General features: G+C 36.2%; 1 protein-coding gene across 5 annotated transcripts in view; it reads right to left on the reverse strand.

Moving 5' to 3' along the window:
- Positions 1 to 24164, reverse strand: part of BTC (betacellulin) — a 49765-nt gene that overhangs the window by 20218 nt on the left and 5383 nt on the right. For 4 of the 5 annotated variants that reach the window (NM_001316963.2, XM_047416103.1, NM_001729.4 and 1 more), the window contains exon 2: positions 5082 to 5180. In NM_001316963.2, the coding sequence (NP_001303892.1) occupies positions 5082 to 5180 (99 nt within the window). Of the gene's footprint in view, positions 1 to 3489; positions 4282 to 5081; positions 5181 to 24164 lie in introns of those variants that run through there. The other variant, XM_017008568.2, reaches the window with a different exon arrangement.

A 24164-nucleotide genomic window follows, 5' to 3' on the forward strand; every position in this document is an offset into this window, starting at 1 on the left:
TTTATAAAATCATCAGGACTCGTGAGACTTATTCACTACTATGAGAACAGTATGGGGGAAATTGCCACTATGAATCAATTATTTCTACCTGTCCCTGCTGTTTTCTCTAATGCACAGACACCAACACAGCAAGTTAAGAAAAATGAAGGAACAGGTAAATATATCCTAAAGAAAGAAAAAAAAAAACACTAATGAAATGAAGATGTATAATTTATTTGACAGAGAATTTAAAATTATCATAAAGATGCTCAATGAAGACAGGAGAACAATACATGAACAAATTGAAATTTTCAACAAAGAGATAGAAAATATTTTTTTAAATCAAATATAAATTTTCAAGCTGGATAATTCAGTAACTAAGCTGGAAAATTCAACAGATGGCTTCAACAGCAGACTATGTCAAGCGAAAGACAGAATCAGCAAACTTAAAGACAGATAATTGGAAATTATACAATCATAGGAGCAAAAAGAATAAAAAGAATTTTAGCAAGTGAAAAAGCTTAAAGGACTTATGAAACACCATAACACAGGCAGACCAATATACATCTGATAGTAGTCCAAGAGGGAAAATAGAAAGGGGCAGAAAGATTATTCAAAGAAATAATGCCCCAAACTTACCAAATCTAAGGAAAGAAATGTACATACATATTCAGAAAACCAACAAATTTCAAAAACATAAACCCAAAGAAATCTACACCAAGACACCTTACAATCAAATTGTCAAAAGTTCAAGATAAACAGACAATTTTGAAAGGAGCAAGATGAAAATTACTTTTCACGCACAAAGAAACCTCCATCACACTCAGTGGATTTCTCAGCAGAAACCTTGTAGGCCAGAAAGGATGATATATAGTCAACCATCACTTAATGACAGGGATATGTTTGGAGAAATGCATTATTAGGCAGTTTTTTCATTGAGCAAACATCATAGAGTGTACTTACACAAATTTAGACGGTGTAGCCTATACACACCTTAGTTATATGGTATAGCTTATTGCTCTGAGGCTACAAACCTATACAGCATGTTACTGTACTGAATACTGTAAGCAATCATAACATAATAGTATTTTTATATCTAAACATAGAAAAAGTACAGTAAAAATATGATATAAAAGTTTGCAAATAGTATATCTGTATAAGGCACTTACTATGAAAGGAACTTGCAAGACTAGAAGCTGCTCTAGGTAAGTCAGTGAATGAGTGGTGAGTGAACATGATGGCCTAGGACGTTATCATAAACCACCGCAGACTTTATAAATGTTGTACTCTTAGGCTACAATACATTTGTATTATAAAAAAATTCTTTCTTCAATAATTAACTTTAACTTACTGTAACTTTTTTATTGTATAAACTTTTAAATTAATTTTTCCTTTGACTGTTGTAATAGCAGCTGAAAACACAAACACACTGTACAGCTCTACAAAAATATTTTCTTTGTATCTTATTCTATAAGCTTTTTCTATTTTTTGTACTTTTAAAACTGATGTCACAGAAATAAAAAGGATTATATTAGACTACCATGAAAATTGAATAACGAAGAAGTAACAGATAAATTCCTAGAAACAACCAATCATGATTGAATCATAAAGAAACAGAAAATATGAACAGATCTATGACTAATAAGGAAATTGGTCATAATCTAAAACCTCCACAAATAAAGGCCAGGGCCCAGATGCCTCCACTAGTGAATTCTATCAAACATTTAAATACGTAATTCCAATCCTTCTTAAACTCTTTCAAAAAATTGAAGAGGAAGAAACACTTCCAAACTCATTTTACGAAGCCAGCATTGCCCTGATACCAAAGTTAAACAAAGACATTATAAGAAAAGAAAACTACAGGGCAATGTCCTTAATTAATATAGACTCATTCATAATTCATTTTGACAAAATTCAACACCTTTTCATAATAACTTTTAACAAACTAGTAATAGAAGGAAATTACCCCAAAATAATAGGCCTTATATGTAAAGCCCTTAACTAACATGGTACTTAATGGTAAAAAATTAGAAAGCTTTTCCTCCAAGATCAGGAGCAAGACAAGAATGCCCAGTCTAACCGCTTCTATGCAACATAGCGCAGGAAGTCCTAACCAGAGCAATTAGGAAAAAATAAAATAGAAGGAATCTAAATTGGAAAAAAAGAAATAATTTCATCTCTGTTTGAAGATGACATGATCCTATACATAAAAAATTCTAAAGACTACACACACACACACACACACACACAAACTGTAAGAACTAATTCACAAATTCAGAAAAGTTGTAGGATACAAAATCAACATGAAAAACCAGTTGTATTTGTACACACTAATCACGAACTATTCAAAAAGCAAAGTAAAAAATAAGCTAATTTACGATAGCATCAAAAAGAATAAAACACGTAGGAATAAACTAAAGAAATGAAAGACTTGCACACTGAAAACTATAAAATATTAATTAAAGAAATTAAGGAAGACAAAAATATATAAAAAGACATCCTGTTTTTCTGGACTAAAAGATTTAATATTGTTAAAATTTCCATACTACCCAAAGTGATCTACAGACTGACTATCAAAATTCCAATGACTTTTTTTTTTACAGAAATGGAAAAACAAATTTAAAATTCAAAGGAAACTACAAAGGACCCTGGATAGCCAAAACAATCTTGAGCAAGAACAAAGTTGGAGGTATCGTTCTTCCTGGTTTTTAAATCATCTACAGCATGGTACTGGCATAAAGACCAATAGAACAGAATAGACAGTCGAGCAATAAACCCATGAATATATGAACAACTGATCTTCAGCAAAGGTACTAACAATACGCAATGAGGAAAGGGTAATCTCTTGAATAAATGATGTTTGAAAACTAGATATCCACATGCAAAAGAATGAAATTGGACCCGCTTGTTATACAAAAATCAACTCAAAATGGACTGAAGACTTATATTTAAGACCCGAAACAGTAAAATTCCTGCAAGAAAACGTAAGATAACACTTCTTGACATTGGTTTTGGCAATGATTTCTTAGATGTGACACCAAAAGCACAGGTGACAAAAGCAAAATAAACAAGTGGGACTATGTCAAATGAAAAAGCTTCTTCACAGCAAAAGAAACAACAGAGTTTGGGCTGTGCAGAGATAGGGTTAGAAGTTATAACAGTGAAGAGAAATGGAAACTCAAATCCATTTTGATGGGTAAATTAGTACTGCTTTTCCTGAAGACAATTTAGCACTATACAAAACATATTGATTACACATATCCAAAATACATAAAGAACTCTCACAATTCAATAACAAGGAAACAAATAACCTAATAAAAATCAAGATCTCAATTAGATACTTGTATGCCCATGTTTACTGTAGCATTATTTCATAAAAGTCAAAAGGTGGAAGCAACCCAAGGGTCTACTGACAGATTAATGGATAAAGAAAGTACGGTAGTACATCCATAGAATATTATTCAGCCTTACAAAAGAGAAAAATACTGCCATTGTGACAACATGGATGAACCTGAAAGCAATTTTGCTAAGTGAAATAAGACAGTCACAGAAAGACAAATATAATATGAATGCCTCTACTTATATGAGGCATCTAAAATAGCCAAATTTATAGAAGCAGATAGTAGTATGGTGGTTCCTGGAGGCTTGGGGAGTTGCTATTCAATGTGTACAAAGTTTCAGTTAGTGCAACATTAATAAATTTGAAGAGATCTGCTAATCTATAGTTAACAATATTGTATTGTCCACTTTAAGATTTGTTAAAAGGGTAGATTTCATGTTAAATGTTCTTACTACAATAAAAATAAAATTAGAAAACACATTTAGGATGATGATGAGGAAGATTTTTGAACATTGTCTGTCATCAAATTATGGGATAATTTCCCAAGGGAAATGTGAAAAAATGCCATCATTGAAGACATTTGAAACCAGACTGAAGAAAAACACATGAACACATAAAGTTGGCCTTGTTCTTCTGCCTACATGGATGACAAGACCCAAACATGACCTAAGACACCATTAGATTTTACAGCCGATGAGCACCTTCTGACCACCCACTACTGTGAGGGATGAAAGGGGAAAATTGGGCTGGAACTGATGACTCACATCAGGAAGACTTGCTCAGTGTGTTCCTGGCTCTGTTACAACTTCCCGAGGGTGCTAGGAAAGGAGCAGTTTGCACCAAGTCATCATACTCCCAGTTCATAGAAGTTTCCAGGGAATACAGGAGGCTCTTCTCTACTGCACCCCACTTTTTTAATTGGTCTGTGTTTTGTTTTCTTTTTTTTAAGTCAGAAATAACCCCTGTAGAAGACCAGAACATACAATCTATACAGAACAAACAATCTATACAGAACAAACATAACCTTAGACCAGGGGTCAGCAAACTGTAGTCCAAGGATCAGATCTGGCCCACAGCCTGTTTCTCTAACTAAAGTTTTACTGAAACAGAGCCAAGCCTATTCATTTGCATAGTGTCTATGACTGCTTTCACAGTACAGTGGCAGTGTTGAGTAGTTGTGACAAAGACATCATGATCCACAAAGCCTAAAACTCTTACTAAGGCCTTCACTAAAACCTTTACTAAGGCCAAATACTGCCTTAGACTGATAAGTTTGAGAACACTAATTCAAGCATCTCCAAGGTAAAATATGTAAAATCCTTGCCTTCTTCCCTTCTTTTAACTATGAAATAGAAAAGAAAAAAAGAATTTAACTTTGGGTAGAATATGTCAGCTTTTCCTGAATCCAGTCCAAGACATCACATGCTAGAGTCTGGAGCATGCATCTGTGACCCAAAATATAGTGGCTGACTGGAGGCTCTAGAATCAGAAAGACCTGCATTTGAATTCCAGATTTGCTGTTTTCCAGCTGTATGACCTTTGGCAAGTTACTTAATCTTTGTAGGTTTCTCCTTGAAATAAAATAAAAAATATTATCTAGCTCAGGGGGCTCTTGTGAGTAGTGATTAATTACTGTATATAAAGCACTTAGCACAGTGACTGGTACCTTAATATATGTTCAAATGTTTACCTAGTATTATGAGTACTATTATTATCAGAAAATTAAAACTCAGATTTGAATATAAAACTTGTTAAACTTTACCTGCACAGTTTTCCTCAGGGTCTCCACAGAGGAGGCCATTAGTTTCAGGACTTCTGGTGGAATTCCCATCTGCCACCACACAGTGAAGGATCACTAGACCTTCAAATTCAAAACAGAACCAAAATCAAACATGAAAATTTGCTTATTGTGAAACAGTCTATCAAAGTCATCACCCATTTCACCCATTTATGAAAATAACAAGACTATGGTTTCCATTTCCAAGTCACTCACTCCCAGGAAGGGATACAGAGGCCAGCATGCTGCACATTTTCAGCTCATTGCTAAAGAATGAATTTTCAAGCCACCATCACTTATATCTAACTATGGATCTTAAGGAGGAAACTTGGTCATAGCTTGTGAAAGAGCCTTATAACAAAAGCAGAAGTAAGAGCAGCTGAATTCCCAGTCCCTGAGTGAAACTACTGATGAATTTCCAGGGAGAGTGAATGGTGAACCTGCACGGCAAGCAAAGTGCCTTCTCCATTCCACAAAGAGCCAGCGTTCTCAGGTGTTAACAACTGAATGTGCTTCTTTCTGGGGAGATATTTGATCCATGAGAATTCTTTAAAAATTTTAGGCTCCTCTAGCTAAGAATCTCTGTTTCTGAGAAGGACGGGCCACATGTTTTACGAGGGAGAGAAGAATGCCATGCTGTGGTTAGAATGGTTCAGAATACAATGTGCAGTCCTTGTGTAGATACTGATTCAAACAAACCAACCAGAAAAGGTCACTTCTGAGATAATCAGGGAAATTTGACACTGACTGGACACTAGATAATATTAAAAAATTGTTATAGATATTTTAAAGTATGATAATGATATTGTGGTTTAGGTTACAAAACAGGGTCTATATCGTGTATGTGTGTGTGTGTGTGTGTGTGTGTGTGTGTGTATAATTATGGATAAAATTGATGTATCTGGGGTTTGCTTTAAAATAATCCAACATGAGAAGGAGGATACGAAGAAGTGACGAAAAGGCATGGATGAAATAAGGTTGGCCACATATTGATAATTGCTGAAGCTGATGGTGGGTATATCAAGGTTCATTATGTTGTCCTCTCTGGTTCGTATATGTTTAAACATGTCCATAATAATAGGAGGGAAGAATAGAAAAAGAAAGAAGAGGAGGGAGGAAAGTCAAGGAAGAGAAAGATGGCTTAGGAATTAGCTGGTCTTGAGTTTAAGAGCTGTTTTTGCCAGATAAGTATGAAAAGCACTTAACACGGTGCTGGTAGGTAATCAATGTGCAATAAAAATTACTTATTGTTATGCAACTGACAAGAATAAAGTAGCCTGTCCACCAGTTGTATTGAAATTTATACATCTAATGATTTCTAAACTTATGTATGTTCTCCAACTCAATTTGGTTCAACAAACATTCATGAACATACAGGAACACACAGGTGAATAGGATGTGCTAGATCGCTAGATCCTCAAGTTGCCCCCAAGTTGTGGAGCCAATTAACCATAACACAAAGTGCTACTACTGTACCAGAAAGCAACAGTGGCCAGCAAGTTCAAAGGTCAAGAGTTTTCAAAAGGGTCTTTTGAAAGAGAGGCTCTTTTTTACCTATCTAATTGGAACATGTTTTCAAAGAAAGAAATGTACCTAACATGGGTAACAGTGAAGAGAAATGGAAACTCAAATCCACTGGTGATGGGTAAATTAGTACTGCTTTTCTTGAGAACAATTCAGCACTATACAAAACATAAAAGCAAATACACACACAATGTATAAGTCTTAAATTCAGTAATTACATGGCTAATGGTTTTTCCTAAGGAAATAATTCAGGATAAATAAAGAGATTTAGCTGCAAAATGGCATGAGTTTAAAAAAAATGTAGATTACCTAAATAACTGACAACAGAGGATTAAGTACATTGAATGAATTCATGCAATAAAATACTATTCAGCCATTAAAAGATGATATTCAAACATGAATAGAACATCTTGTGTTCCTAAATAAAGCAGACCACAGAATAATAATATAGCGTGATCTGTTTGTGGGAGTATGTACTCATCTGTTTGTGTATGTGAGTTTAAGTGTGATAAGTGTAAAAACCTATCCATATAGTCAAAAGGTGAATAAGTAAATAGAGAGTTGCTCACAATTTCCTTAAGTCAACATTTTTCTTAATTTTCCTTATTTGTACTTTCTAATATTTCTAAAAGCACATTTTATCTGTTGCAACAAGAAAAAAGGAGTGACTCATGTATTTCTCTTGTGAATTGCAATTTGGCTACCAAATTTCTAGATTATTTACACGTTTACTCCCAGCACCTGCCCTTTCCTTCACACTTAGAACAAATAGAAACAAACAATCATTTAGGGCTTCTGAAGCACAGGAATTTTATATTACTCATCTTTGTAATCCTGGTGCCTAATACAGAATTTAATGAATATTCAACAAATGTTAAAAGACTGAGTGAATCAATCTATAAACGAACAAGAAAAAAACTCTTTATATTCAAAAATCCCAAGAGCAATTTCTACTGGAAAATAATAAAATATGTTTAATTCATTTCTAAAATCCCATCCATGGGCTTTCTTCATGGGCAGTAATAGGAGACCTTAATTTCTTCTAATGGTGAGAACAAAAAAAAAAAAAAAACTCTAAATCTCATAGAGATTCCGCATCTGCAACCTGAGGATGGTAGTATCTCCTTCTCGAGGTTATTGTAAAACTTAAGTTTATTTTTAAAAAGAGCACGTGGCTTGGCACATAATATACAATTTGCAGTCCAGTTGCACGCCTTCTCACTATCACTTATAATTTAACCCATTATTCTCCAATTCTGCTCACAGAGGGAGTTCTAATTCCTTTGAAACCCTGCTGAGGCCTTCAAACATCCCCACAGGCTGGGGGCTATGGCCCAGGCTCCTTCCGCTAAGCTTTGTTTCACATGCTGGTGTCAGTTGGCAAAAGGAGTTTGCTGTCCTCACAGGTGGAGGCAGAGTACTGGGGCGGAGGTATCCTCAGCCAAGCCAGCTCCCAAACCAAGCAGAGCATGAGCTGCTCCTCTTCCTGCCCACCCCAGCAACCTACAGGTCACAGGTTGGTGGGTGTGAACCAAAGCAAGCCTGAAGAAGCATTTGCCTGGCCTGCACAGTTTTTAATAATTGAATCAAAGCAGTTCATATTAAACCTGAGTTTTCTTCTTCCATTGAAATAGTGGAAGGTCTCGCAAGACAGATCTGAAATGCTTTCCTAGCAACAGCTGGCTGCAACTAAGAAGCAGGTGACCCCTTTAAGTGTCCCAGAACCCATGAGGCTTCCTGCACTTATTTATTTTAACTACTCAGGCCCTAACAGGTATTTGAGTTTGTGATCTGTAAAAAGAGACTCAGAAATCAGATAAATGCTCACAAAACTATCTACTAAACAATAAAGGCTGCTATAAAGAGAAAGGACACTCCATTCATAATTCAATGAATATTTATTAAGCATGATGTATTTGACACTGGTGCAAGACTCAAGACACTGAAGGCTCTAAGATAACAGACACAGGTATTATCATTAACCTTAAGGAGATCACATTCTGGTAAGATAGACACAAACTTTTTTTTTTTTTTAGACAGAGTCTCACTCTGTTGCCCAGGATAGAGGGCAGTGGTGCAATCTCGGCTCATTGCTGCCTCCGCCTCCTGGGTTCAAGCAATTCTCATGCCTCAGCCACCCAAGTAGCTGAGATTATAGGTGCCTGCCACCATGCCTGGCTAATTTTTGTATTTTTAGTAGAGATGGGGTTTCACTGTGTTGACCAGGCTGGTCTTGAACTCCTGACCTCAAGTGATACACCCATCTCAGCCTCCCAAAGTGCTAGGATTACAGGCATGAGCCACCAAGCCCGGCCCGACACACAAATCTTTAAGGTACAGTATAATATGTACAACAACGATGATAATGCAGAAGTAATAGGATAGAGAATCAACTCTGCCTAGTGGCAAAGACTTCATGGAGAAATTGAGATTTGCCATGAGTTCTTAATGAGGAATAAATGATTTTTAAAAGCATCAGTTAATAACTTTTACAAAAACAAAAAAAGTGTAAGCAAGATAACAATCATAATGTGTTAATTGTTTCAGCAGTGGATAATATTTATGTGGTCATAGTAATGTCAATATTGATAATTTAACAAAATATGTTCAGAAACTCAGGGCCAGTAATTAGCCCACATACACCATATGGGATAACTGGTTGTGACTAATCAGTGTGTGCTCTGCCAGTTCTTGAATGTTTTGAGTACCGGTCTTGGAATTATGAGAGAATATAAGGTCAGCAGATAAAGTCTAAGCCTGACAAGTCAAGAAGTTGCATTATAAGGAAATTATTGCAGTAAACATTTGAATACCAGAAGAAACATCAAAACGAGTCAAAAGTGGTTGGTAGAGAGGCAGGAAAGTATGGTGCAAAGATCTGCTATTTACTGTTATAAGCCTTTTAGTACTATCTGATTTTTTATCACTTTATTAAAAACATAACTGATTATTAAGAAAAGGACAAATAAAGTTGTAGTTAACCAGGGCATTCTTTAAAAAAAAAAAAGGAACAACTTGTAATAAGTAAAAGGAATAACTTGTTAAAAGACATGGCATGAAACAGCACAACTTTTCCTGCTTGTTTGGAGGGTGGGTGGGGATTGTGATGGAAGAGGAGGCTGGCAAGCACGTAGGCAACCAAAGGTCTCAATGCCATGTTGATTAGTTGGGATTCTGTTATGCAGCTAAGTTGAGACCACTGAAAAGTTTTAAGTGAGAAGCAACATAATCATCTTTTTTTTTTCCATTTTGAAAAGACTACTTTAATATCAGCATGGGTGATTCAGACACACCTAAACCAGGATGATAGCACCAGGTATGCAGAAAAAAGAAAGGCCTATGAGGGATAGCCACAGATCAAATATGAAAGACCTGGTGACTGGAAGTGAAAAAAAGGAGTCTGGGATGACCCCAGAGTTTACCGCTTGGATAACTGTCTGGATTGTGGTACCAATCACAAAGATACAAGGTATAAAGAAGGGAAACAGGTTGAGCATAGAGAGGAATTCAGTTTGGGTCACTGAGTTTGAGATGACTGTGGCTCATCTAGAGGGCAGTAGATGAGGTATAGATCCACAACTTTGGAGCAAAGCCAAGCTGCAGGTTCTATTTTGGGGAATCATGGAAAATAAACTGGAATTTAATTCCATGAGAATAGACTTCTCAAAAAAGGAAATGTGAAAAGAAAATGCTGATTAAGGGCAGAATTCTGAAAATCCAGTGAAATAAGAAAGTTTAAAGGAACGTACATTATTAAAATAATCATCTTTATCTGGGAAAGCATGAATTGTATTTTAAAGAAGATGAAGGAAAATATGATACTCAGCTGTAGAAAACACAGTAAGATTTCCACTCAAAAAGATCATAGGTTATGTTAAAATTTAGAATTAGTAAAAACTAAAAGTATTAAAATTTCCCACCAACTAACTCTCAACTCCCCAGAAATCATCCCCTGGGAAAGTTCCTCAAGCCCGTATTTAAAATTTCAGTACAGAAATTTCAATCTCTTCCGAAATATGCCATTTCAAGGAGACTATTCATCAATTCTTTCAATCATGATCATTCATTCATTCAAAAAAATTAAACACCTACTTCTAAAGCTCCATAAATGTTTCTTCATATTGAGCTGGTTTTTGCCTTCCTGTTATTTTACTCTGCTCCTTGGAATCACCTAAAATAAGTTTAAGCTCTCTTTTCCTTGACAGATTCTCATATATTTGAAGCCAGCTATCAAGTCTTCCTGAAAGAATTTCACTTCTTCAAGCTAAACATCCCGGTTCTTTCAATCATATTTTATGGTATCATCAAGACCCCTCATAAGCCTTGTCGTCCTGTCCTAAATGCAAAGTCAAAATAAAGTGCCATCCCACAGGGTCTGGCAAAGACAGAATAAAGTGGGGCTTTCAGGCCCTACACTGGGAGCTCCCCATAGCATATCAGCCCTTTTTGCCTATCACATTAATACTGGGGTTTTATTCTCCTTACCATAAAATGAAGCTCCTCTATTTTTTATACTGCTGGAAAGCAATATATTTATGGTTTCTTTTTTTCATTGCTATAGCTCTGTTTTGTGGCATTTTTTTTTTACCTTAAGAAAATAGTTTTTACACTTTTTCCTTTTAAATGTTTTTTGGGTCAGATTTCACCTATCATTCAAATATTTCACAATCTGTTGTCTGATCCTTTCATTCAACCTATTATCCATACCTCCCTGTTTTGCAGGACCTGAAGAATTTCTCAGGTGCATTAAAGCAATACAAACAAAATAAACTAATGTTAACTGCATTTGCTAAGTGACTAGAAATTAGTCCTTATTTCTGGGGATAGTTTTAAAATATCAACTCCACTCATAAAATTAAAGACAAAAGGAAAAGAAATCCAATTGTACTTCAGTGAATCAAGGCTGTATTTATTTTTATGCATTTTGAGATTCTCAAGTTAAATATTACAGAATGTATTAAAAGTATTATCCCCATCAGTCAGCATGGGGAATGAAGTCAGTGTAAACAATACAAGCATTCAAAAAGAGGCAGCCTGACAAGGAGCATGACACGCCGTCTCAAAGTCACTGCTAATGCTGAGGTAAGTAGTACACCAGCTGGGTCAACTATTTAAAAAGATCATACATGACCAACTTAAACAGTCATGTGCGTTGTATTTGCCTCATCTCTGAGCTGAATTTTCCATTTTTAGAGCCAAGTGCATTTTGTATTTTAAAAATAAATATAATATCACAAAATGTCCATTCATTTATATTCTGATGATTTAGGACATCTTCCTAGATACACTCCAAACTTCTACTTATGTATACTAAATCCAGTGATTCCTTGCCATATCATATCATTTAAGATCAGAATCACATTCCATGTCTCATTAGAAAATCCAGCTTTAAGTCAAAGAAGAATGTATCAACCTATGAACATAAGCAGAAATTAGAAGAATATTTCATTGTCGCACCTCTATCATTTTATTTACATTAAAGAGAAGCAGTGCAGAGTAACGGAGAAAAGGCAGCTTTAGGGTCAGATGGAGCTGTTTTTGAATCCTAGATCTACCTTTTATGCACGAGATTTATAATTAAGATTGAGTTTCTCAACCACTGAGCTTCAGGGTCCTCTTCTGTAAACTGAGGCTCATAATACCTAACTTACATAGCCATGGTAAAAATGTAGCTGTGTGCTGAAAAGAAGGTGGAGGGTAGAAATTATGCGTTTGTAACTTAGGTAATGCCTTGCACAGGGTAAGCGCTCAAAAAATAGTAGCTGTTAAGTGACCAGAAGTAAAAGAACAAAAATTTAAATTACCCTGGTAAAAAACTAGATTCTCAGCCTCATAAGTGGATACTGACAAATTTCTACATTTATGGTGTGATTTCACTGTGTATAAAATATGTTTCTGATATAAACTATGAAAGATGAATACACATATATATGCATACCTTCTACAGTATGCTTTTTTGTATGTACTTAATGAGACAAAACTATATTTTGGCCTCTCTGCATGTTCCTTCTTTCTAATTTTTGGAAGAAATTTGAAGTTAATATGCCTCAGCTAATTAATAGAAATATGACACCTTCTACATACATAGTTCTTTGTGTTTTCAGTAGAGTTCTGCCAGTGACTCAGCATACCATTTATGTCAGTTGGGATTACTGATTCAGTTGGTTGGTTAAATGATTCAATAATACAAATATAGCTGACAAAGTCAGATCATAGTAATAACTAAAAATCAAGTGAATTATAAATCATATCTCTAATTTTTAAAAAATAAAATTAAAGTTTTTAAGTTGAAATCAACACTAGGAGTAAAAGCAATAAGCATTTGGGGAACTTTCTTATTACATCTTCACTGTCAGGAAGAAAACAGAATCTTAAATATGCATACTATACACAGAGTAATTTCCAAGTCCAAAAAGAGACCCTATCTAACGTGGAGTTTGAAAAAAAAAATAGGGAGTGAAAATAATGTTTAACACTGAGTTTGTGGTTAGCTGAGATGAAAACTGTGAAATGGGTGTAATGTTACAGCGTTCTCCTTTTTTGTTAACTCCTTTTCTATCTTTTCTTCTTCTTGTCTTTTGCCCTCCTTTAATCCATTGTCCTCATTCTGCTTTAACATGGCCCCAAGGAGAACATAATTCTTGAGCAGATTTTTGTTTCTAAATGTATTTGCTTTCAAAGCAGACCTTCAAGGAGAGAAATTATTTAACTCAAAAGAAACACTCTAAAATCTGGAGTGCCTCAATCTGGGTTTCCTAGAAAGCAGAACCTAATGTACAGACTAAGGGATTACCACTTTATTTGAGAGTTACAAGCTTGGGGTAGTGAGAATAAGGAAGAAAGGAAACGAAGCAAAGAAAGGGACAAAACAATAAAATGTGTGCACCTATCATGCAGTGTGTAGTTCCAAAGTGAGATGCAGAGAAACACAGAAATTTGCTCAGACAGCATGTTTACTAGTATGTAGGCCACATGAATGGCTCAAGAAAAAAATTCATACCTTGAAGCAGTCCAGTGGAAAAAAAATGAAAGGAGGAAGAATGTATCAGACCCAATCACTTTCATCACCAATTTCCCACTGGTCAAAATTCACCCCACTGAGTATGAACTCCCTCAGTTCTGACCCCTTGGTGACAGAGAGGCCAGAACTCATGCCCTGGGACATGGTGTTTTATCCAAGTCTCAAAGTGGAGCAACCTGGCATGGGGAGGAGCTGACCAAGAGACAATGAAGGTGGCTGAAAGACTCTTAGGAGGTGCACAATATTTGTGTCCCAACACAGTGAGCAATTTGGGCATCAGGACATCTCCTGGGGAACAATTTTCCAGGACAGAGGAATTTTCCAAGTTTTCTTAAATCACATCATCTGGAGAACTGCCTATTCTCTAAAACTGAAAGACAGGCTTCTGGGTTTTCAGGGCCAGCATGGGAAGCAGAGACAGGAGCAAAGAAAAAAAGAAGAGGGTCTTTACAAATAGTGTATGTTCATTCAAATTCAGAAAAATAAAATATGAACTCCTTCTTCCTCCAATGTAAAACTCTATTCTGAATGGTAGAAATAATATCTTGGTGTTTAGGAAAGGCTAAAACTGATTGATAATACAATTTTTAACTCATAAAAGTACTTCACAACCTTATATTTTTAAAGCCCAGAAGGGAAAGTAATTTAACAACCTGTCATACACAAACTAATTCAGGTATCTGAAAACTGTCAACACGACAATGTCTTTGCCAGTAAATCAACCTTTTTTTTACTATTACCATTATTAAATCTGTGACAAATTGATTGAATGACTAAATTTAATAGGAACTCCAAAATAATCTGAAGCTAGTTTCTCAGAAATCGTCAGTTGTCAAAACTTGACTTTTTGATTCCCATTCCTTTATAATAAGGCCAAACCAGGCAGTTAGGCATTGTGACAATTTGAATGAAAAGTTTTAGGCTCACTGAATTTCTATAGTAGTTCAAAGAGAGGAGGTGAAGGAACCAAGGAAAAAGGACAATTTGTTTTCAAGGAGGATTATCCAAGTGCAAAGTGAGGTGAAACTGTGGCATTGGTTTCTGGATCTAGTGATAACATGGTCTCTGACCCATGAGGAAACAGTCATCAAACTTTAATAATGGTAAAGAAAAGAACATAAGATTTCAGAGTAGATGCTCACCCAACCTGAAAAAGCCCCAGAACTTAAACCCTTTAAATGAGTTAGAGTAAGCCAACCCAACTTAGCATCGAATTTGTTATCATCTTTATCAATAAAACCATTTGCAGAGACTAGGAATATAAATAAAGAAATATTAGGCAGAATATCTTAGGTATCAGGTGTTTAGAACATAAATTATCTTGGAATTCCAAAAAGTGGCAATGTGTTAAGCTGGAAAAATCAAAAAGTTTCACAGAAGAACTTAGAAACTGAGGACCAAAGGAAATGACATAGAAATGAGTTTGGTGTCTTTGGGAGACAATGAGTAAAGCTGTTCAGCTGGAGTGACGAATTATACAAAAAAGGATTAAGAAACAATGGCCTTCTTGGTGTGTTTTGTGTGACTATGAAATAATTCAATTGATTTCATTGTGTGGCCTATGAAAAGAAGACTCATTAAGAAATAGTCACAACACATATTGCCAGTTGAAGCTTCTCAATGACTGCCCACCACATCCTGAAAGACAGATTCCCAATTAAGAATCTGACTAGTATAGAAAACCACTCACTAAGTATTTAACAGCGAAGACAAATGTTGTGTGGAAATCACTAAGAATGAGGTGTGTATTCTTCGTTATGTTTCTGCAAAGGCAAATGGAAGTGAAGTTTATTATTTTGTGTAGTCTCATCTCACATCTCAACCAAACTTACAATCACTCTTCTGACCCTCCATTACATGATGATTGTCATTTACCTAAAAATGAGCAGGGATTTTCCTCACAGAAGTCTTCTATCACAGGATGGCAATGTTACAAATAACTATCTCCCGATGTAACAATATTTGAATTTTTTGTCAATGTCATTTACCTATTGTAGTTGTGCTTTATTTTTACCCTTCATAGTAAGATATCAGTCCGTCATCCTTATTTTAATAGATGGTAAAATATGAAATATGCAATGTCTTTAATGCAAAAACTAAGCCTGGGGCATAGGATTGGTGCTATATTCCAAGATGAGGACCATAAGAGAACACAGTTACTGAATTCAATTTTGGGGGAAAAGCTCAATTGTCTTTTTAAAAATTCTTCGTTATTGGTTTCCCAGGTTCCAAGTGGCCTGAGTCTTCTGTCCTTCCCAGGGAAGTCTACTGAGAGTTTCTTTTTTTTTTTTTAATTTTATTATTATTATACTTTAAGTTTCAGGGTACATGTGCACAATGTGAGAGTTTCGTATTTTGAAATTCTATCTTTCAACCTCAAAAACCTTGCCAAAGTGCAGTAATATCATCCTGTACTCATAAGAACATAAGAAAACTTGATGGTCATGGCCCACTCCCTACCCAGCTTAGGAATCACCTTTACACAACTCCATTTATGTACCATCCAGACCACATGTGTGTACAGGCAGGGGAAGCTCACCACATCCCAAGGCATCTGGCTCCACTTTTTTCCAAGCTCCATTTGGGGAATAAATTTCTTCCAAATGCTGCCTTCCTGGAATTTTAGTTCACTAATGTAAGCTGTGTTCTCTGAACTATACAGGGGAAACCTTGGTTGAAACGACTTTTCACATATTTGAAGTTGACTCTCATAAGCCAAAGCTTGTCTCTTTTCCATCCACAACCCCAATTTCTATTCTCTCGTCACGTGTGTGTGTGTGTGTGTGTGTGTGTGTGTGTGGCTTCAGTTACCAACAATCTCTTATCCCTTGTCTTTCAAGAGCACCAGTAATTTCCTCATAGCTCACTCAAGCGTGGCCTCTTCTTTAGCCTCATCCTCCTTCACATCCACATTAGAGTATTTGATATGGTTGACTTTCCCAAATCTTCCATCTAAAATCCACCCCCATTGTTGGCTTCCTGGCTTATTCTCTCCTTTTTACTCAACTTTGCCAGCTCTTTTTCTGACTCCCACACCACAAATATGTGTGCCACAAATAATCTACCTCTGTCTTTTTTTTTCACTTTTTTTTGTCATGGTAAAATACATATAACAAAAAATTTATTATCCTAACCTTTTTTAAGGTAGCATTAAATACATCCACATTGTGCAACCATCACCACCATGCATCTCCAGAATTCTTTTCATCTTGCAAAACTAAAACTCTATACCCATTAAACAATAACTCCCTACTTGCCTCTCCTCCCAGCCCCCATTCTGCTTTCCATCTCTATGACTTTGTCTCAGTCACAGACATGACCAAAAAAGTCAGTCATTTTCTTTTTTGTAATGTCACATAGTCTCACAAAACATCCATGGAATCAATATTTGATCAAACATTTACTGAGGATTTATTGCATGCCAGGCACTATGCTAGACCCTGAAATTATAATCAGTGAAATGATTCAGGTATATTTCCAGCCCTATTTTCTTTTTTTTTCATTTTAAGTTCAGGGGTACATGTGCAGGATATGCAGGTTTGTTACACAGGTAAACATGTACCATAGTGGTTTGCTACACACATCATCCCATCACCTAGGTATTAAGCTCAACGTCCATTAGCTATTCTTCCTGATGCTCTCCCTATCCCCCGACAGGCCCCAGTGTGTGTTGTTACCCACTATGTGTCCATGTGTTCACATCATTCAGCTCCCGCTTATAAGTGAGAACAATGGTGTTTGGTTTTCTTTTCCTGCATTAGTTTGCTGAAGATAATGGCTTCCAACTTTTTCATGTCCATGCAAAGACATGATCTCATTCCTTTTTATGGTTGCATAGTATTCCGTGTTGTATATGTACCACATTTTATTTATCCAGTCTATCACTGATGGGCATTTAGGCTGATTCCGTATATTTGCTATTGTGAATACCGCGCACTGAACATATGCATGCATGTATCTTTATAGTAGAATAATTTATATTCCTTTGGTATATGCCCAGTAATGGGATTACTGGGTTAAATGGTAGTTCTGCCTCTAGGTCTTTGAGGGATAGCCACACTGTCTTCCACAATGGTTAAACCAGTTTACACCCCCACCAACAGTGTAAAAGCATTCCCTTTTCTCTGCAACTCCACCAGCATCTGTAGTTTTTTGACTTCTTAATAATAGCCAATCTGACTGGTGTGAAAATGGTATCTCATTGTGGTTTTGATTCTCATTTCTCTAATGATCGGTGATGTTGAGCTCTTTTTCATGTGTTTCTTGGCCACGTGTATGTCTTTCGAGAAGTGCCTGTTCGTGTCCTTTGCCTGTTTTTTAATGGGGTGGTTTGTTTTCTTCTTGTAAATTTGCTTAAGTTCCTTGTAGATTCTGGATATTAGACCTTTGTCAGATTGATAGATTGCAAAATTTTACTCCCATTCTGCAGGTTGTCTGTTCAGTCTGATAACAGTTTCTATTGCTGTGCAGAAGCTCTTTAGTTTAATTAGATACCACTTGTCAATTTTTGCTTTTGTTGCAATTGCTTTTGGTGTTTTTGTCATGAAATCTTTGTCCATGCCAATGTCCTGAATGTTATTGCCTAGATTTTCTTCTAGAGTTTTTATAGTTTTGGGTTTGACATTTAAGTATTTCATCCATCTTGAGTTATTTTTTGTATATAGTGTAAAGAAGGGGTCCAGTTTCCATTTTCTGCATATGACTAGCCAGTTCTCTCGGCACCGTTTATTAAATAAGGATTCCTTTCCCCATTGCTTGTTTTTGTCAGGTTTGTTGAGGATCAGATGGTTGTATCTGTGTGGTCTTATCTCTGAGTTCCCTATTCTCTTCTATTGGTCTATGTGTCTGTTCTTGTGCCAGTACCATACTGTTTTGGTTACGGTAGCCCTGCAGTGTAGTTTGAAGTTGGGTAGAATGATGCCTCCAGCCTTGTACTTTTTGTTTGGGAATGTGCTGGGGCTATTCGGCTCTTTTTTTTTTTTTTTTTTTTTGGTACCATATGAATTTTAAAATAGTTTTTTCTAATTTTGTGAAGAATGTCAATGGTAGTTTAATGGGGATAGCATTGAATCTATAAATTACACTGGGCAGCATGACCATTGTCATGATATTGATTCTTCCTGTCCATGAGCATGGAATGTTTTCCCATTTGTTTGTGTCCTCTCTGATTTCTTCGAGCAGTGGTTTGCAGTTCTCCCTGAAGAGGTCCTTCACTTCCCTTGTTAGCTATATTTCTAGGTATTTTACTCTTTGTGTAGCAATTGTGAATGGGAGTTCATTCCTGATTTGGCTCTTGGCTTGACTGTTGTTGGTGTATAAGAATGCTAGGGATTAGGCTGGCATGGTGGCTCACTCCTGTAATCCCTGCACTTTGGGAGGCCGAGGCAGATGGATCACTTGAGGTCAGGAGTTCGAGACGAGCCTGGCCAACATGATGAAACCCTGTCTCTACTAAAATACAAAAATTAGCTGGGTATGGTGGCAGGCACCTATAATCCCAGCTACTCTGGAGGCTGAGGCAGGAGAATTGCTTGAACCTGGGAGGCGGAGGTTGCAGTGAGCTGAGATAGTGCCACTGCACTCCAGGCTGGTTGACAGAGAGAGATTCTCTCTCGAAAAAAAAAAAAAAAAAGAAAAAAGAATGCTAGTGATTTTTGCCCATTGATTTTGTAACCTGAGCCTGCTGAAGTTGCTTATCAGCTTAATAAGCTTTTGGGCTGAGACATGGGGTTTTCTACATATAGGATCCTGTCATCTGCAAACAAAGATAATTCAACTTCCTCTCTTCCTACTTACATACTCTTTATTTCTTTCTCTTTCCTGGCCAGAACATTCAATACTATGTTGAGTAGGAGTGGTGAGAGATGGCATCCTTGTCTTTTGCTGCTTTTTCAGGGGAATGCTTGCAGCTTTTGCCCATTCAGTATGATACCGGCTGTGGGTTTGTCATATATGGCTCTTACTGTTTTGACGTATATTCTTTCAATACCTAGTTTATTGAGAGTTTTTAACACGAAGGGATGTTGAATTTTATCAAAGGCCTTTTCTGCATCTATTGAGATAATCATGTGGTTTTTGTCTTTAGTTCTGTTTATATGATGAATCACATTTATTGATTTGCATATGTTGAACAAACCTTGCATCCCAGAGATGAAGCCAACTTGGTCGTGGTGGATAAGCTTTTTGATATGCTGCTGGATTTGGTTTGCCAGTCTTTTGTTGATTTTTGCATCAACGTTCATCAAGGATATTGGCCTGAAGTTTTCTTTTTTGGTTTTTGTATCTCTGCCAGGTTTTGGTATCAGGATGATGCTGGCCTCATAGAATGAGTTAGGAAGTAATCCCTCCTTTTTAATTTTCTGGAATAGTTTCAGTTGAAATGGTACCAAGTCTTCTTTGTACCTCTGGTAGAATTCAGCCGTGAATCTTTCAGGTCCTGGGCTTTTTTTGGTTGGTAGGCTATTGATTACTGGTTCAATTTCAGAACTCATTATTGGTCTGTTCAGGGATTCAATTTCTTCCTGAGTTAGTCTTGAGAAGGTGTATGTGTCCAGGAATTTATCCATTTATCTTAGATTTCCTAGTTTATGTTAATAGAGGTGTTTATAGTATTCTCTGATGTTTGTTTGTATTTCTGTGGGTCAGTGGTGATATCCCCCTTATCATTTCTGATTGTGTTTATTTGATTCTTCTCTCTTTTCTTCTTTATTAGTCTAGTTAGCTGTCTATTTTATTAATTTTTTCAAAACGCCAGTTCCTGGATTTATTGATTTCTTGAAGGTTTTTGCATGTCTCTGTCTCCTTCAGCTCAGCTCTGATCTTGGGTATTTTTTTGTCTTCTGCTAGCTTTGGGGTTTGTTTGCTCTTGGTTCTCTAGTTCTTTTAGCTGAAATGTTAGGTTGTTAACTTGAGATCTTTCTAGATTTTTGATGTGTCAAGCCCTACATTCTAAGCAGACGAATAGCCAAACTGGCTAGTAATTGGAATTTCCTGCAGTGTCTTTTTTTGTAGTAAACTTTTTATTTTGGAACAATTTTATATTTACAGAAAAGTTGCAAAGTGCAGGGAATTCTCACACACCCTTTACCCACTTTCAGCTTCCTCTAATGTTATCATCTCATATCACTGTGGTAAATTTATCAGGACTAAGAAAAAACTATCACCTCACACATATAGTTCTCCTAAAGCCAGAACCTTGGGCAAGTTGCTTAATCCCTTTGTGTTTCATATCCTACTCTATAAATGGGAATAATAATGATATCAACCTAGCTCCTGTGTTAGATGAATGTTATGTAGATGAAATGAATTATTATGCTCTTAGAACAGTGTCTGGCACATATTACACAACTGTTCTGCTATTATTTTTATTGTGAAGATCAAATGAGATAATGGGTATTAAAATGCTTTTACAATTATAAAGCTTCCCCAAAATGTAAGTAACTATGTTGATATTCTATAGAGAAGGTCAAGGAGATACCTGAATACGTAGTAACATCCTGTGTCTGTCACCCTGAGATGAGACCAGTTGAGTGTCAGAAACTCAGATGGCATTTCAGTAGGAAGGTGATCGTGAACAAGTCAAGTGTAAGTGTCCTGAAAGTGCTTAATTCAGCTCTGATGACAATTTCCTGGTGGTGCTACAGGCTTTCTGCACCAGAAGACAGAGGGAAGTGGTTCTCGCCTATTCTAGGATGGCCTGGACCATGCAGCTCACTCCAAAGATTAGAGAACAAAGATCTGTGTGTAATGTGCTTAAATTTAACCACTAAAGAGTTCAGACAATTGATTGTTATGAAATCGTTATATGTAATACTAAATAAGCTAGAGATTCTCAACACTAACAACTCAGGCTGCAGTCAGCCTCCAAAGCGAAGCTATCTCCATTTCTATAGGAGCCGCCAAAAGTTTGTTTTTCTTTTTAATACTAAACATAAACCCATGAATACAACAATTTGATTACTCGCCATTAATGAAAACCATTTCTGTTGAAAACAATTCTAATCACACAAGAGAGAAAATCATCTGACATCTCACAGAATTCAAGGGTGTTTTTAAATAAACCACTGGAGAGTGTCCTGAGTCCATTGCCCTTCCCTCCCCAACTTAGACACTTATTTTAAAAGTTTACATTTCGACCAGTAAAATCTGCCCTGAACCAAACATGTAGCAGTCTGAATCCTCAATACAAAACATGAGAAATAGAAGAAATGCTATGGGAAAAAGAAAAGCCTTTTGTGAAAGAATCTCTAGCACTGCCAGCAGCAAGTCCCATATAATAAGGGATGGAGAAACCTGTCCTTCTACCACATCCCTGAATCTGGGCTCAGTGTTTTGCCAACAAGAAATACAATTTTTTTTTTTTTTTACTTAACCTGTTGTTATTTTACTGGCTGGGCATCTTCCACCAACAGCCACTTACATTCATTCATTCATTTAATTAATACATTTTGAGGTCCTACTATGTGTCAGGCACTCCTTATGCAACTCTTCAAAAACTAAATAAAGTTAAACAAGTGAATGAATCCACAGTCTTGCGAAGACGAAAATGTTATATTAGTAGTTCATCCTGTTATGCAACTAGCTCATCACTTTAAAACAAGGAGGCTGAATATGAATACTGTTAAACTTCCCATCCCCATTTTGTAATTAATACCTCTAGTCTATGAGTCAGGTAAGTAACATACTACATATCCTCAGGAAAGAAAATGTAGAGAATAAATGAAAGCATTTCATGGTTATTTGACCTTGTTTAATTGATGTGAATTAAGATTAAATATTGCCTCTCCCTCCAACCATCTAAAAAGGTCTTTCATTGTTTCTTTAAATTATAACAATTAGATATACAGTTGAAATACTAAGATTTTTTTTAAGATATAAATATATCTGGAAAGGTTAGCCATCTTGAGCAATATAAAACATATGAATTTTAATCCAATTGCTTTCCTCTTAAATTTGACTTGTGAGCATTCTTGACCAACTTATGTGTGATTCTTTGCAGATCCAGTATCAGCTGGGGTCTGGCACTGCCTAAGATCAATAAGCATAAAAGCAGGATAGGGTAGGGTTGAAAGCACATATGGAGTCAAAAAGATCAGAATTTGAGTTCTAGGCATATACTATGTTTTAGGGAAGCTACTTAATCTTTCACAGTGTTAGTTCCCACATACGTAAAGTCTTTTTTTTCCCAGGTGCTGTTGCTACTCTAAGATGGACCTGGAGGACCTCCTGATTACGAGCCATCTCCAACCTAAGAAAGCCTAGCAATACATGATTAGGGAACAGGGAAAAAGAATCATGAAGCAAACCAGCAAACCACTCATCTGGACCTTACACAAAAGGTGGGGCCAGCTTGTCCCCCAGCTGTAGGGAATAAGGTAAAAGGAAGTCTAGATATTTCCAGAGTATTTTAACAAATTCCCCAGATAGGAAACCATGTAATATTTTAAGTCTATCTTGTAACAAAAAGCATGAATTTGTCTAAATTACAAAACCCCCTGCCTCCAATTCCTAGGATATCCTGCAGAGATAGAACTGTATCAATAATTCAGGATTCCGACTAATGCCCTCATTTTGGAAATCATGTTCTTATCCAGACAATATTTCCTTTAGAACTGCACAAAATTAACTTTTTGTTTGAGATATTTGAGTCTTAGTGCTACACAAAAAAAATGGTAGCTATTAATTTGTCCACCTTTTAATTCTTCTCCCATTTTTTCCTTCACCACTACCAAGGAAGAATTGTCACTATTAGTGAATTTTCCCCTAATCACTCCAGCCTGTAATAAATTATCCTTTTCTGAGATCATATTTAATCTGTACGATGCAATTTAAACTTCCTTAAGGATTGAACTATTATACAATGTTTCATTTGGAATGAACATTTCTATTCTATGTAAATCTTTCTAGAAAGACAATGGCCTACAATTAGACTTTTCTCATTAATGTTTAATACAGTTTTAGACACACTGTAAACAGTATTAGACATACTTTAAAATGGTAAAATTTAACATGGTAAAAATTTTTAGGTCTGCCTTCCTCACTATCACGTGTTTAGAAATAATGATAGTACTTTTCATCAACCTGCCAAGCACCGTGCCATGAGCAAAAGAGTTATGCATTTGGATATGTTAATGTTTTGCTAATTGCGATAGTCAGCAACCAACTTTCATGAACAAAACTCATACCTGGTCTGCCTATTTGGCAAAACCAGAGTCAGCTGCCATCTTGGCAAGGAGCTGTGTATCAAAAGTAAGTCATCGTTAGCAAATCTGAAGACATTAAAGATAGGATACTGAGTTCTGGGAGAAAGCGATTCTTACATTTTCATTATCAAAGCTAGGAAGTGTGTGTCGGGAGAGAGGGAGTGGATGTGAGTGTGTATGTGAGGAAACACAAAAGTTCACATCAAGATCTCTGTGATACACTCTGAGAAGCTACTGACCTAGAAGGACTTCCTGGACTATCCCCACTGACATTCATTCATTCAACAAGTATTTATTGAGCACCTACTATACATAGGAACT

Source organism: Homo sapiens, chromosome 4 (assembly GCF_000001405.40).
Source record: "Homo sapiens chromosome 4, GRCh38.p14 Primary Assembly".
Lineage (NCBI taxonomy): Eukaryota > Metazoa > Chordata > Mammalia > Primates > Hominidae > Homo > Homo sapiens.